The 15,483-nt window shown below is 48.0% G+C and overlaps 1 protein-coding gene across 2 annotated transcripts in view; it reads right to left on the bottom strand.

The window, feature by feature from the left end:
* Positions 1–12,860: 12,860 nt before the first annotated feature.
* Positions 12,861–15,483, bottom strand: part of TULP3 (TUB like protein 3) — a 50,248-nt gene continuing 47,625 nt past the window's right edge. Inside the window, exons 11-12 of one of the 2 annotated variants that reach the window (NM_001160408.2) lie at positions 14,575–14,688; positions 12,861–13,469 (exon numbers count right to left, since the gene is read on the bottom strand). In NM_001160408.2, coding sequence (NP_001153880.1) covers positions 13,273–13,469; positions 14,575–14,688 — 311 coding nt within the window. In that variant the 3' untranslated portion in view covers positions 12,861–13,272. Of the gene's footprint in view, positions 14,689–15,483 lie in introns of both variants that reach the window. The other variant, NM_003324.5, reaches the window with a different exon arrangement.

Raw genomic sequence — 15,483 nt, 5'->3', positions numbered from 1 at the left:
TGAGCCGAGATGGCACCACTGCAGTCCGGCCTGGGCAACAGAGTGAGACTCCATCTCAAAAAAAAAAAAAAAAGGCTGGGCGTGGTGGCACACGCCTGTAATCCTAGCACTTTGGGAGGCTGAGGCAGGCGGATGACGAGGTAAGAGATCAAGACCATCCTGGCCAACATGGTGAAACCCCGTCTCTACTAAAAATACAAAAATTAGCTGGGCGTGGTGGCACGCACCTGTATTCCCAGGTACTTGGAAGGCTGAGGCAGGAGAATCGCTTGAACCTGGGAGGCGGAGGTTGCAGTGAGCCGAGATCACACCACTGCACTACAGCCCTGGCGACAGAGCAAGGCTCCGTCTCAAAAAAAAAAAATGTGGCCAGGCACGGTGGCTCAAGTCTGTAATCCTAGCACTTTGGGAGGCCAAGGTGGGCAGATCATCTGAGGTCAGGAGTTCGAGACTAGCGTGGCCAACCATGGAACCCAGGAGGCAGAGTGAGCCGAGATTGTGCCACTGCCCTCCAGCCTGGGCGACAGAGCGAGACTTCGTCTCAAAAAAAAAAAATGCACATTGTACACCATAAATATATACAATTTTTATTTGTTAACTATACCTCAATAAAGCTGGTGGTGGTAGCAAAGAGATTATATAGGATTAGAAGAACTCAATGAATAGGTTCTGAGTAAACGCCACCATGTAAGTCTTCTAGACTTCTTATCGATCCACTCATTATCCTACATATTTGTTTCAACTATTGCTGACTGCCAGTTTACAACTCTAGAAACTTTTTTCCCCAGTAAATCAAACCATTCCCACCAAACAAACAACTGACAGCTGGATTGAATGGCCTAATAGGAAACTGACAGAGTAAAGAGAGATTGTTTCCTAGCTTTTAGGTGAAAGGCAAATATTTTTCTTTTTTTTTTTATTTTTGAGACAGTGTCTCGCTCTGTTGCCCAGGCTGCAGTGCAGTGGTGCAATCAGGGCTCACGGCAGTCTTCACTCCCTGGGCTCAAGTGATTCTCCCACCCTAGCCTCCCAAGTAGCTGAGACTACAGGTGTGCACCACTTCACTTGACTAATTAAAAAAATTTTTCTTTGTAAAGACAAGATTGCCCTATATGCTCAAGCTGGTCTCAAACTCCTGGCCTCAAGCCATCTTCCTGCCTTGGACCTCCTAAGTGTTGGGATTACTGGTGTGAGCCACTGTGCCGGGCCACATCTTGCTTTGGAGATTTCCCCAAAGCTGCTCCCCATACCTTGGAAAGTATTATGCAATGACTCCTGCTGGTCAGCTGTGACTCAGGTGCTTTTTCTTTTTTAACCTCTCCATCCTATATTTATTTATTTATTTATGTTTTTTTTTTTTTTAGTAGAGATGGGGTTTTGCCATCTTGGCCAGGCTGGTCTTGAACTCCTGGCCTCAAGTGATCCGCCCACCTTGGCCTCCCAAAGTCCTAGGATTACAGGTGTGAGCCACTGCACCCGGCCCATCCTATACTTTTATTTACTTTTTTCCTTAAGAGAATGTTCACTTGACATCAGCTGAACTTCATTTTGTGCTTTGAAGGACAAAACAGACCATTTCCTGTTTTTTGTTTTGTTTCTTTTTTTTTCTTTTTTTTTTTTTGAGACGGAGTCTCGCTCTGTCACCCAGGCTGGAGTGCAGTGGCGCGATCTTGGCTGACTACAACCTCCACCTTCCGGGTTCAAGCGATTCTCCTGCCTCAGCCTCCCAAGTAGCTGGGATTACAGGCGCCCGCCACCACACCCAGCTAATTTTTTGTATTTTTAGTACAGACGGGTTTCACCATGTTAGCCAGGATGGTCTCGATCTCCTGACCTTGTGATCTGCCCGTCTCGGCCTCCCAAAGTGCTGGGATTCCAGGCGTAAGCCACCGCGTCCAGCCTGTTTTGTTTCTTTGAGCGAGAGCTCTGTCTCCCAGGCTGCAGTACAGTGGCGCGATCTCGGCTCACTGCAACCTCCACCTCCCGAGTTCAAGCGATTCCCCTGCCTCAGCCTCTCTAGTAGCTGGGATTACAGGCTCTCGCCACCATGCCCAGCTAATTTTTGTATTTTTAGTAGAGATGAGGTTTTGCCATGTTGGCCAGGCTGGTCTCAAAACTCCTGACCTCAGGTGATCCACCTGCCTTGGCCTCCCAAAGTTCTGGGATTACAGGCTCTTGCCATCACGCCCAGCTAAATTTTGTATTTTTAGTAGAGACGGGTTTCACCATGTTGGCCAGGATGGTCTCGATCTCTTGACCTCATGATCTGCCCACCTCGGCCTCCCAGAGTGCTGGGATTACAGGCGTGAGCCACTGCGCCTGGCCTTGTTTTGTTTTGAGACTGAGTCTCGCTCTGTCACCCAGGCTGGAGTGCAGTGGCAGGATCATGGTTCACTGCAGCCTGGACCTCCCGGGCTCAAGCTATCCTCTCACCTAGGCAAAACGGATCTTTATCAAAGGTTTTTTTTTTGTTTTTGTTTTTGTTTTCCCCAACTGTCTATAGAATAAAAGTAGTCAATAATTTGATAAGCATACTATTCATTCTATTATGTCTTCATGAAAGGCAAATGTAGGCCAGGCGGAATGGCTCACAACTGTAATCCCAACATTTTGGGAAGCTGCAGCAGGAGGATCACTTGAGGCGAGGAGTTCGAGACCAGCCCACGCAACATAGGGAGACTCCATCCCTACAAAAAATAAAAACAAAATTATCCGGGTGTCGTGGCATGTGCCTGTAGTCCCAGCTACTTGGGAGGCTGAGGTGGGAAAATTGCTTGAGTCTGGGAGGTCGAGGCTGCAGTGAGCCATGATTGTATCACTGCACTCCCACCTGGCAATAGAGCAAGACCCTGTCTCAAAAAAAAAAAAAAAAGAAATGTGAAAGAGAACAGACCCTAGGTCCACTGTCTAGGGAACAGTATATGCTGTGGGCTAAATTGTTTCCCTCCAAATTTGTGTGTTGAGGTCCAAACCCCTAGTACCTCAGAACGTGACTGTGTTGGAGATAAGGCCTTTAAAGAGGTGACTAAATTAGCAAGAGGTCATTAGGGTGGTCCATAATCTAGTGTAACTGGTGTCCTCATGAAAGAGATGAGGACACAGAACACTCAGACCAAGGGATGACCATGTGAGGACACAGGGGGAGAAAAGGAGAAAGGTCTCAGAAGAGACCACACCTGCCAGCACCAGCATCCTCCACTTCCAGCCTCCAGAATTGTAAGAAATGCATTTCTGTTGTCTGTGGATTTTGTTATGGCAGTCCAGGCTGACTAATTCAGTGTATTTATATTTCCAAACTGAAACAAACAACAGGTTTCCATTGCACAGAGGTGGAAGCCTTCTCTGCACAATTCTCAAGCAGGGTGAAGTTCCTACGGGGTCTTATCCTCAGCTATCCAGGAGCTTCCTGAAAAAAAGTCAAAAGGAAGGAAAGGCTTTCTCCAATCTCGCTCAGCTAAAATCTTCATCTTCAGTAATCCTGTTTGATAAAATATTCTGAAAATGAGAGTGCACTAAGTTGTGTGCGATGACCTTGTCGGGCCGTTAAACAGTCAGAGTTTAAATTCCAGCTTGGCCACCTACTAAGTGAGCCTCGGTTCCTCATCACTCATTTTTTCACTCCACATTTATTGAATGTGTGGAAAACAGAGGAGTCATGATGTCTGCCTCTCAGGCTGCTACGAGTGGAACACAGGAGCAGAATTGCTAAGAAGATAGTTAGCTTGGGAACCTGAAGTTGAGATTTCTGTAGACCAACTAACATTTTCCAACACAGCTTTCTGTGATGATGAAAATGTTCTCGGCCGGGCACAGTGGAGCATGCCTGTAATCCCAGCTACTTGGGTGGCTGAGGCACGAGAAGTCCTTAAACCCGGGAGGCAAAGGTTGAAGTGAGCTGAGATCACGTCACGGCACTCCAGCCTGGACAACAGAATGACACTGTGTCTCAAAACAACAACAAAACAGTTGGGCACCGTGGCTCATGCCTGTAATCCCGGCACATTGAGAGACTGAGGCAGGTGAATCACGTGAGGTCAGAGGTTCGAGACCAGCCTGGCCAACATGGCAAAAACCTGTCTCTACTAAAAATACAAAAATCACCCGGGCGTGGTGGTACACAGCTGTAATCCCAGTTACTCGGGAGGCTGAGGCAGGAGAATCGCTTGAACTGGGGAGCTGAAGGTTACAGTGAGCCAAGATCGCACCTCTGCACTCCAGCTTGGGCAACAGAGCGAGACTCCATCTCAAAAAAAAAAAAAAAGAGAGAAAGAAAAATGTTCTCCATCTGCACTGTCCACTGTGGTAGTCACTAGCCTGAGGACTTGAAATGTAGCTAGCCTGACTGAAGAACTGAATTTGAATGAATTTGAATGTAAATAGCCACATGTTGGCCAGCACAGCTGTGCACCATCTCAGCGGGAGATGCCCAGCAACAACTGGATAACACTTGCAGAGCTTGCAAAAAAATGTGGGACTGTGGGAGAAAGCAAGTGTAAACGTGTAAACTTATGGGAGTTACTAAGTGTGAAGAATGAGAAAGAAGAGGATTAAGATGACATTAGCCTGGTGTGGTGGCTAATGGGACACACCTGTTGTCCCAGCTACTTGGGAGGCTGAGGAGGAAGGATCGCTTCAACCCAGGAGGTTGAGGCTGCAGTGAGACATGATTGCACCATTGCACTCAGTCTGGTCAGCAAAACGAAACCATTCTCAAAAATTCATTGGCCTGGTGTGATAGCTCACACCTATAATCCCAGCACTTTGGGAGGCCAAGGAGGGTGGATTATTTGAGGTCAGGAGTTCAAGACCAGCCTGGCCAACATGGTGAAACCTCATCTCTACTAAAAATACAAAATTAGCCATGCGTGGTGGCACATGCCTGTAGTCCCAGCTACTCAGGGGACTGAGACAGGAGAATCGCTTGAACCTGGGAGGCAGAGGTTGTAGTGAGCCGAGATCACACCACTGCTCTCCATCCTGGGCCACAGAGTGAGACTCTGCCTCAAAAATAATAATAATAATAATAATAAATTATTTAATAGTAGTAATTTCATATGGTTTAAAACTTCTTTTTTAATGATTCCTCCTGGCCAGGCATGATGGTGGATGCCTAGAATCCCAGCACTTTGGGAAGCTGAGGTGGGAGGATCACTTGAGTCCAGGAGTTGGAAACCAGCCTAGGCAACATAGTGAGACCCCATCTCTACAACAACAACAAAAATTACTGGGGCATGGTAGCATGTGCCTCTGGTCCCATCTACACAGGAGGCTGAGGCAGGAGGATCACTGGGACCCAGGAGGTCAAGGCTGCAGTGAGTCGTGATTGTGCCACTGCACTCCACCCTGGGTGACAAAGTAAGACTGTCTCAAGAAAAAAAAAAAGAAAAGGATTCCTCCCACATCTGTCTTGCCTTCCTGTGCCCTGTCCTGCTCCTATAGTTAACCCACTTTTTAGTTTCCAGTTTTTCAGTGTTTATGCAAAAATAATAATGGGCTTGCAATTTCCCACCCTTTGTGCACAAAAGGAAGCATACTGTATACGTGGTTCTTTAGCTTACTTCTCACGGAATGGATCCTGCAGACATTTCCACATCAATCAATACAGTCTTCCTCATACTTGTTGATTCTCCACAGTATTCCATTGTGGGAAGTACCTTAGTGGGCTTTTTCCTCTTTTTTTTTTTTTTTTGAGGCAGAGTCTCTCTCTGTTGCCCAGACTAGAGTGCGGTGGTGTGATCATGGCTCACTGCAGTCTCGATCTCCCCAGCTCAAGTGATCCTCCCATTTCAGCCTCCTGAGTAGCTGGGACTACAGGCATGTGTCACCATACCTGGCTGATTTAAAAAAAAAGTGTTGTGTGGTTTTTTTTTGTTTGTTTATTTGTTTTTTTGTAGAAACAGGGTCTTGATATATTGCCCAGGCTGGTCTCAAAGTCCTGGGCTCAAGCAATACTCCTGCCTGGGTCTCCTAGAGTACTGGGATTAATTACAGGCATAAGCCAGCTGTGTCCAGCCTTACCTTAGTGTTTTTAACTAGTCCCCTGTAGATAGGCAATTTGTACATTAATCATGTGTGTGTGTGTTTGTTTTTTGTTTTTTTTGTTTTTTTGAGACAGGGTCTTGCTCTATCCCTAGACTGGAGTGCGGTGGTGCAATCCTAGCACACGTAAGCAATCCTCCTACTTCAGCCTCCCAAGTAGCTGGAAATACTACTGGTGTGTGCCACCACACCTGGCCCAAAGGTTACATTTATGTACCTCTATCTCTCTGAATAGCTGATATACGCCGGGCGCGGTGGCTCACGACTGTAATCCCAGCACTTTGGGAGGCTGAGGCAGGTGGATCACGAGGTCAGGAGATCGAGACCATCCTGGCTAACACGGTGAAACCCCGTCTCTGCTAAAAAAAATACAAAAAAAATTAGCCGGGCGTGGTGGCAGGCGCCTGTAGTCCCAGCTACTCAAGAGGCTGAGGCAGGAGAATGGCGTGAACCCGGGAGGCGGAGCTTGTAGTGAGCCGAGATTGCGCCATTGCCCTCCAGCCTGGGCGACAGAGCGAGACTCTGACTCAAAAAAAGAAAAAAGAAAAAAAAAATAGCTGATATAGAACAACATACGACTGACCAAAGGCAAAAATCAGGAAACCTTTTTCGAGGTCACTTTCTACTTTAGCCTGGTATGGTTTGTCCTAAGTATGCATCAGTACTTTGGAAATGGAACTTAGACCCACCTTTTTTGTTGCTGTTGTTGAGACAGTCTCACTCTGTCACCCAGGCTGGAGTGCAGTGGTGCAATCTTGGCTCACTACAACCTCCGCCTCCCGGGTTCAAGTGATTCTTGTGCCTCAGCCTCCTGAGTAGCTGGGATTACAGGCGTGCGCCACCATATCTGGCTAATTTTTGTATTTTTAGTAGAGATGGGGTTTCACCATTTTGGCCAGGCTACTCTCAAACTCCTGACCTCAAGTGATCTGCCCGCCTCGGCCTCCCAAAGTGCTGGGATTACAGGTGTGAGCCACCGCGCCCACACCCGGCCTAGACACACTTTAAAAATGCTGCTCTACTTCCTAGCCCTCTTCTGCCTGTCACCCTCCTTTCTCCTCAAACCATTCTTCCTTCCTAATCTTCCTACTCCCAAACTACGGAAGAAAGAGAACTGCTGGATAATTATTCTTTTTTTTTTTTTTTTTTGAGACAGAGTCTCGCTCTGTTGCCCAGGCTGGAGTGCAGTGGCGCGATCTTGGCTCACTGCAAGCTCCGCCTCCTGGGTTCAGGCCATTCTCCTGCCTCAGCCTCCCGAGTAGCTGGGACTACAGGCACCCGCCACCACACCTGGCTAATTTTTTGTATTTTTTAGTAGAGACGGGCTTTCACCGTGTTAGCCAGGATGATCTCGATCTCCTGACCTCGTGATCCGCCCGCCTCGGCCTCCCAAAGTGCTGGGATTACAGGCGTGAGCCACCGCGCCCGGCCTTGCATAATTATTCTTGAAACACTTAAGATTCATGACAAGGGGCAGAATCTAGGTAGAAAGTGCTTAACTAGATGTTAAACCCTGTGGCTTGAGAGCCCCAATGTTAAACCAAAGAGGTATAGTAAAGGCTGGTGATAGACCAGGAAAAAGCCTGCCCCCACCTAAGCCCCCAGCTTTACCCCGCTTTGGTCATGGCCAAAGCCGTGTTGGGGCTCAGGCCTGACGGACCAAAAGACAAGGCCCATCTATAAAGAATCTTGGAGGCCCATTTTGTATTTGAAATACTTCAAAAATTTCCAACAACATCAGGGCTAATATTTGTACAGGCAGTTACTTCAAGTAAAAACAAGAGAGATGGGTACAAAGTGAGGAAAGGGAGGTAGGATCAGGGCTGGGCTAGCACTGGTGTGTGGAGTAACCTGATTAAACCGTGCTGTGCTTCTGTCCTCTCCTATTGTCTCTGAAAAACCATCTAAATTTGCTTTATAAACATGTATAAGCCATTCTCTATAAGTGCGTGGCTAAGAAGATAATTGTTCTGTTAAGTTTTTTCTTAGAGACAGGGTTTCACTCTTTTGCCCAGCTGGAGTGCAGTGGTACAATCTTGGCTCACTGCAGCCTCCTGGGCTCAAGCCATCCTCCCACCTCAGCCTCCCGAGTAGCTGGGACTACAGGCTCGTGCCACAGTGCTTGGCTAATTTATTTTTGTAGAGATGGGGTCTCCCTATGTTGCCCAGGCTGGTCTGGAACTTCTGGGCTCCAGCAATCCTCCCACCTTAGCCTTCCAAAGTGCTGAGATTACAGGTGCGAGCCACCATTCGAGCTCATTGTTTTATTTTTAAAGAACATTAATAAAAATTATGGCCAGGCACAATGGCTCACACCTGTAACCCCAGCACTTTGGGAGGCTGAGGTGAGAGGATTGCTTGAGCCCAGGAGTTCAAGACCAGCCTGGGCAACATGATGAAACCCCATCTCTACAGAATACAAAAAAAAAAAAAAATTAGCTGGGCGTGGTGGCTCACGCCTGTATGCCTGTATCCCAGCAGCTCCGGAGGCTGAAATGGAAGGATCACTTGAGCCTGGGAAGGTCAAGACTGCAGTGAGATCATGCCACTGCACTCCAGCCTGGGTAACAGAGTGAGACCCTGCCTCAAAGTAAAAAAAGATAATATAGATATCTGCCACTATACTTAGTGTTTATTCTGTGCCGGCCAGATCCTGGGCATTTTACCTAGAATACCTTAACTCGTTTCTTTCTTTTTTTTTTTTTTTTTTTTTTTTTTTTGAGACAGAGTCTTGCTCTGTTGCCCAGGCCGGACTGCAGTGGCGCCATCTCGGCTCACTGCAAGCTCCGCCTCCCGGGTTCACGCCATTCTCCTGCCTCAGTCTCCCGAGTAGCTGGGACTACAGGCGCCCACCACCGTGCCCAGCTAATTTTTTGTATTTTCAGTAGAGACGGGGTTTCACCGTGTTAGCCAGGATGGTCTCGATCTCCTGACCTCGTCATCCTCCCGCCTCGGCGTGAGCCACCGCGCCTGGCACCTTAACTAGTTTCTAAACTCCAGAAATATTAGTGTTCTCAGGCTTTCAGAAGAGAGCCATGGTCTAACACGAGGTGCTTGGTAACTGCATGGTCATGTGGTCGGCTTGCTGTTTTCGCCTGGTGACTTCCTCACCTGTGCGGGGTCTGCCCGTTTAACGCACCTGCAACATGCATTCCTGGACAGTGGGTGGCGCCATGGAACCATCTGCCGTTCTCACTGCACCCCTTCATTTGTGGCAGCCTTAGCTTTTAGTGGATGAGGGGAGTCTATTGGTTGATAAAAAAGACTGTGAGACTTTTAAAGCATATCCATCGACAGTGATAACGAGGAGACGTAAGCAGGAAAGGAGGCAAAATGATCCACTATGCCAGTGGTCAGGAAACGTGTCTCAGGAGGTGGCACAGAAACTGCCAAGTCCTTGGCATGCCCCTGGCTGGGGCCTGCGTGGGCCAGGCTGAGAGAGCTGTGGACTGAAGAGAAGCAGGTGTTAGACGTGCAGACAGTTCCCGGGCAGGAGCTGGAGGCCGAGGAAAAACGCAGCTTGCAACATGCTGGAGTTCAGGAGCAAGCTGTGTGTGTGTCTTAAGAATTGCTTGTAAGAGTTACTATAACCAAATCGACAAATGTCAACTTGGCTAATAAATCGTACTTGGTAGAATAAAGAGGACAGTTCTCAGTGCACGATCCTGTTTCTTCCACAATTCCGGTCTCCTCTCCATGGTGCCTTCGCTGAGGCAATCTGTGCTTTCCCTGAACTCTGTGTCACCTCTCAGGCTAGCCGTCCTTAGCCATGAACAGAGCTAATGAACATGAGCCATGAACATGAAGCTGTCCAGGGGTAACCAGTGAGTTCAGCTCAAAACAGGGGAATGCCAGAGTGTTGTCAGCATGAGTGGGGAGAAACATGTAATTCAAGAATGTAGCCGGGCGTGGTGGCTCACGCCTGTAATCCCAGCACTTTGGGAGGCCGAGGCGGGCGGATCATGAGGTCAGGAGATCGAAACCATCCTGGCTAACACGGTGAAACCCCGTCTCTACTAAAAATACAAAAAATTAGCCAGGCGTGGTGGCAGGCGCCTGTAGTCCCAGCTACTCGGGAAGCTGAAGCAGGAGAGTGGCGTAAACCCGGGAGGCGGAGCTTGCAGTGAGCCGAGATCCCACTACCGCACTCCAGCCTGGGCAACAGAGCAAGACTCTGTCTCAAAAAAAAAAAAAAAAGAAAAAGAAAAAAAAAGAATGTAAAAGGGCACGTAGTTCAAAGTCTCTCAATCTATAAAGGAGGCACATGGCAAATCATTGGCAGAAATAGGGTCAGAACCCAGGAAGATTTTGCCTTAGTCGAACCATCACTTTATTTCTGCACTTACAATGCTGATCTCAAGGAAATGAATTGATGCTAGTTCATTTCTTCTATGATCTATTAAACTGATCAAAAAGAGCCTTTTGCAGGCCTGTTTTTAGACTTGTAATTGACACTTGCTGAAATCTTTCATGTCAATGCCCACCAGTATGTCCCTGATCACTAGTGTACAAAACTGTGTCACAAAGAATCTATTTGGGCCAGGCACGGTGGCTCATGCCTGTAATCCCAACACTCTGGGAGGCCAAGGGGAGAGGATCGCTTGAGCCCAGGAGTTCAATACCAATCTGGGCAACATGGTGAAACCCTGTCTCTATCAAAAATTAAAAAATTAGTTGGGGGTGGTGGATGCCTGTAGTCCCAGCTACTCAGGAGACTGAGGTGGGAGGATGGTTTGAGCCCAGGAGGCAGAGGTTGCAGTGAGCCAAGATCACACCACTGCACTCCAGCCTGGGCAACAGAGCCAGACCCTGTCTCAAAAAAAAAAAAAAAAACAGAAAAACTGGCCACCCATGCACCTTAGCCAAAAAGAATCATATGAAAAAGAAAATACATGTTGTGCATGTGGAAGACTAAAAAAATAAAAAAGGAAAAATCAAGTTGTAAGAATCGACTCCAGCTCTTGTCCTGATTTTTAGGCTCTTCTTGCTTCTTTCCATGTGTTCATCACTGTGATGCTGATAAGAGCCAGAAAGCCTAGGAAAGCTTTGTGGACACTTTTTTTTTTTTTGAGACAGAGTCGCATTCAGGCTGGAGTGCAGTGGCACAATCTTGGCTCACTGCAAACTCTGCCTTCCCAGTCCAAGTGATTCTCCTGCCTCAGCCTCCCAAGCAACTGAGATTACAGGCACCCGCCACCACACCCAGGTAATTTTTGTATTTTTAGTAGAGACAGGGTTTTGCCATGTTGGCCAGACTGGTCTGGAACTCCTGACCTCAAATGATCCTCCCATCTCGGCCTCCCAAAGTGCTGGGCATAAGTCACCACACCCAGCATTTTTTTTCAACTTCTGAACATAGGGCAGCTTAAAAATGTGAAGGCCGGGCATGGTATTTCGTGCCTGTAATTCTAGCACTTTGTAAGGCCGAGGTGGGAGGCTCACTTCAGCCCAGGAGTTCGAGCCTGAAAAACACAGTGAAGCCCTGTCTGTACTTTAATACAAAAAATTAGCCAGTCTTGGTGGCACATGCCTATAGTTCCAGCTACTCAGGAGGCTGAGGTAGGAGGATCCCTTGAGCTCAGGAAGTTGAGGCTGTGGTAAGCCAAGATCACACTACTGCACTGCAGCCTGGACAACAGGAGACCCTGTCTCAAAAAAAAAAAAGGAGGGGGGGGTGCCGAGCGCAGTGGCTTACGCCTGTAGTCCCACCTACTCGGGAGGCTGAGGCAGGAGAGTTGCTTGAACCCAGGAGGCAGAGGTTGCAGTAAGCCAATATCACCCCACTCCACTCCAGCCTGGCAACAGAGCCAGACTCCGTCTCAAAAAAAAAAAAAAAAAAAAAAAAAAAAGGCCGGGTGCAGTGGCTCATGCCTGTAATCCTGGCACTTTTGGAGGCCAAGGCGAGACCAGCGTGGCCAACATGGTGAAACCTCTTCTCCACTTAAAATACAAAAATTAGCTGGGTGTAGTAGCGCACGCCTGTAGTCCCAGCTTCTCAGGAGGCTGAGGCAGGAGAATTGCTGAAACCTGGGAGGCAGAGGTTGCAGTGAGCCGAGGTCATGCCCACTGCACTCCAGCCTGGGTGATAAAGCAAGACTTCGTCTCAAAAAACAAACAAAACGTTAACATTCAGAGGCAAGCGATGGGGTCTATGAGATAGTTCATTTGTGTTGCTGCTGAACCAGTAAACAATGCCAACAAGAACAAACCTGGGAAGCGGACCTGGGCAGGCATGCAAAGAATGTACACTCTACCCTCTGTGGCCTTGCTAAGCTCAGCTCTCGGTCCCGTCCTCTGTCCAGATGCCCCTGGCTATCATGTGTATAGTGTGTCTAGGTAGCCTCCGGAACACAGCCTTCTTAGTCTGCAGATTCCTGCTCTACATCAGGATGAGAAGTTTGTTAGTAATCACCTGGTTTTACAGAACTGATGTGTTACCAAAACATTTTTTTTTCTTTTTTTGAGGCGAGGGTCTCACTCTGTGGCCCAGGGTGGCGTGCAATGGTGTGATCTCTGCTCACTGCAACCTCAGCCTCCCAGGTTCAAGTGATTCTCATGCCTCAGCCTCCTGAGTAGCTGGGATTACAGACATGCACCACCACACCTAGCTAATTTTGGTATTTTTAGTAGAGATAGGGTTTTGCCGTGTTGGCCAGGCTGGTCTCCAACTCCTGGCCTCAGGTGATCCGCCTGCCACAACCTCCCAAAGTGCTGGGATTATAGGCGTGAGCCACTGCACGTGGCCCAAGATGACAATTATGATTATATAACATGACAGTAGGAACTTCCTGAGGCATAGGACTTGCAAAGGCAGTGACACATTTTTATATAAATTAACTTTTATTTCTGTAACATATAAAAGGTATAAATAGGACTTATGTAAAAACCAATCACCTGCACACACAAATTATGTGAAATTAGTTTATATATCTCTTTAAACCAGAGGGAGGAAGAAGCAGGATGAGGTCCACCTGGCCCACCATAAGTCCTTCCCCACATGCTGTCGTGTATTAATAGCTTCTGTGGCCAACCAGGGTTATCTGCCAGGCAGTGCCTCAGGATGGGGTGGGGGGTGGTGGTGGTGACGAGGTGTGAGGCTTCTGGGCATGGCTGTGAGGGAGGCACTTGGTGGGATACATGCCTGAGATGGAAACAGTCTCGTCCTCACCCAGCAGGTGGGACTTGTCGGTGGGGGACAAGCCAAGGGTCCCGCAGCTGCCAGTTGGCCCTCCTTCACATGCTTATCTGATGTGGTGCAGGAACAACAGGCGGAGGTGAGAGGTCAGTCCACAGAAGGGAGGTCTGAGGGAGCAGCCGCCACGGGTGTCCCACCCAACGCTGGCAAACAGTTCTGTGCACAAGGGATGCAGCTGAATGGTGCTGACGGTGGAGCTCACAGAGCTCCTGCATTCTCAAGGTTTGGATACATTCTGGGAAGGGTGAACTGGTGTAAGAGTCACATAATACGTGGAGGGGTGTAATAATCAAAAAAACGTAGCAAAACACCTTCTGTGCCTGAGCCAGGGTTGAGGGAGCCGAGAAGAAAGTCCACAGCTCTGCCACACGGGCCAGCAGTGCTCATGTCTGCTGGCTGATCCTCCCCAAAGCCTCTCCTGCCACCTTTTTTTTTTTTTTTTTAACTAAACTAAATGGTCAATACTGCCATCTCTCTTGATAATGACAAAGTGTTTGCACAGGATGCCTACAGGTGTGTGTGTCGCTCCTCACTAATGGATCCGTAGTCATATAGCTGTGAGAGGCACTCCTGGGTTGAAAATGAAGGCAATTATCACATTACTGTCAGTCCTGACTGAGTCACCTCTAGAGTTTATGCTTTCAGCCTTAATTGAAATGAAGACAATTATATAAAATTCTCACATAATTGATCACAAATGTGATCACAGCCACTCTTGACTAAGATTGGTGCCGGCCAATCTGCTGTGAGGGAATGAAGAGAGGAGAGGAACTGCGATGTCAGTCCCTGATTCTACTGCAAGTTTCCAAGCACATGAAATCCCATTCTAGCTTTGGAGACCCCAATGTGACAAGAATCTCCCTGTGCTTTAAATCATCTCTCACCCATGCTAAGCTGTGATCCCTCACCAAGTCTATGAAACCTGGAAAAGGAGTGAGAGTGCGCGGGGTGTGTGTGTGTTTTATATATTCAGGGGTCGTTCCAAAAGGGGCAAACTATTGCTCTTCGTGTGTGTGTTTTATATATTCAGGGGTCGTTCCAAAAGGGGCAAACTATTGCTCTTCGTGTGTGTTTTATATATTCAGGGGTCGTTCCAAAAGGGGCAAACTATTGCTCTTCGTGTGTGTGTTTTATATATTCAGGGGTCGTTCCAAAAGGGGCAAACTATTGCTCTTTGTGTGTGTGTTTTATATATTCAGAGATCATTCCAAAAGGGGCAAACTATTGCTCTTTAAGTCCTGGGGCAGGGAGGGGAAGGGGAGGCCACTGTCTGCTCCTGAAAGCTCTGTGGGGAGAAGGGCTCCCTGCCTGACTGTTCTCTCATTCACACGCCAGCTTACTGTCAAAGCTAGAAAGACCGATGCCAAAGGCCTGTACTGCACAAAGTGGGTAGTTGTAATCCAGTGTGAACACGTCATCTGCCACACGTCCAAACTGCATGACTATATAATCAGCTAGAAACAGAAAGAAATCAACATGTTAGAATATAATGTGGTTGCACTCAGGGAAATCTTTTTCTTTTTCTTCCTTTTCTTAGATGGGGTTTTGCTCTGTCGCCCTGGCTGGAGCCTAGTGGAATGACCACAGCTCACTGCAGCCTTGACCTCCCGTCCCAGGCTCAAGTGATCCTCCCACCTCAGCCTCCTGAGTAGCTGGGACTACAGGCAAGCGCCACCACGCCTGGCTAATATTTTACTTTTTGTGAAGATAGGGTCTCACTATGTTGCTCAAGCTGGTCTCAAACACCTAGGCTCAAGTGATTCTCCTGCCTCGGCCTCCCAAAGTGCTGGGATCCTATTTATGATACAGAAAGAATCCTCCAAATAGGCCAGTTAATCACCAGGTTTCTGTAGAATAGAGAGCAGCTTGCTGGGAATGTCATAAACTCCGCAGGCTAGAGCTGCCAGGAACCTTTATTGGGGTCATTTGCCTTTGTTTCCCAAACAACCTACTCTATGACTTCTCTGATTTTTTATTTTTTTCTGAGACAGGTTCTTGCTGTCACCCAGGCTGGAGAGCAGTGATGCAATCTCAGCTCACTGCAGCCTCGACCTCCTGGCTCAAGTGATGCTCCCACCTCAGCCTCCCGGGTAGCTGGGACTACAAGTGCCTGCCACCACGCCCAGCTAATTTTTCTATTTTTTGTAGAGATGGGGTTTCACACCATGTTGCCCAGGCTGGTCTCAAGCGATCTGCCCACCTCGGCCTCCCAAAGTGCTGGGATTACAGACGTGAGCCATGGTGCCCAG

This window comes from Homo sapiens, chromosome 12, assembly GCF_000001405.40.
Source record: "Homo sapiens chromosome 12, GRCh38.p14 Primary Assembly".
Classification (NCBI taxonomy): Eukaryota; Metazoa; Chordata; class Mammalia; order Primates; family Hominidae; genus Homo; species Homo sapiens.
This window is presented reverse-complemented; position numbering and strand designations above follow the sequence as displayed.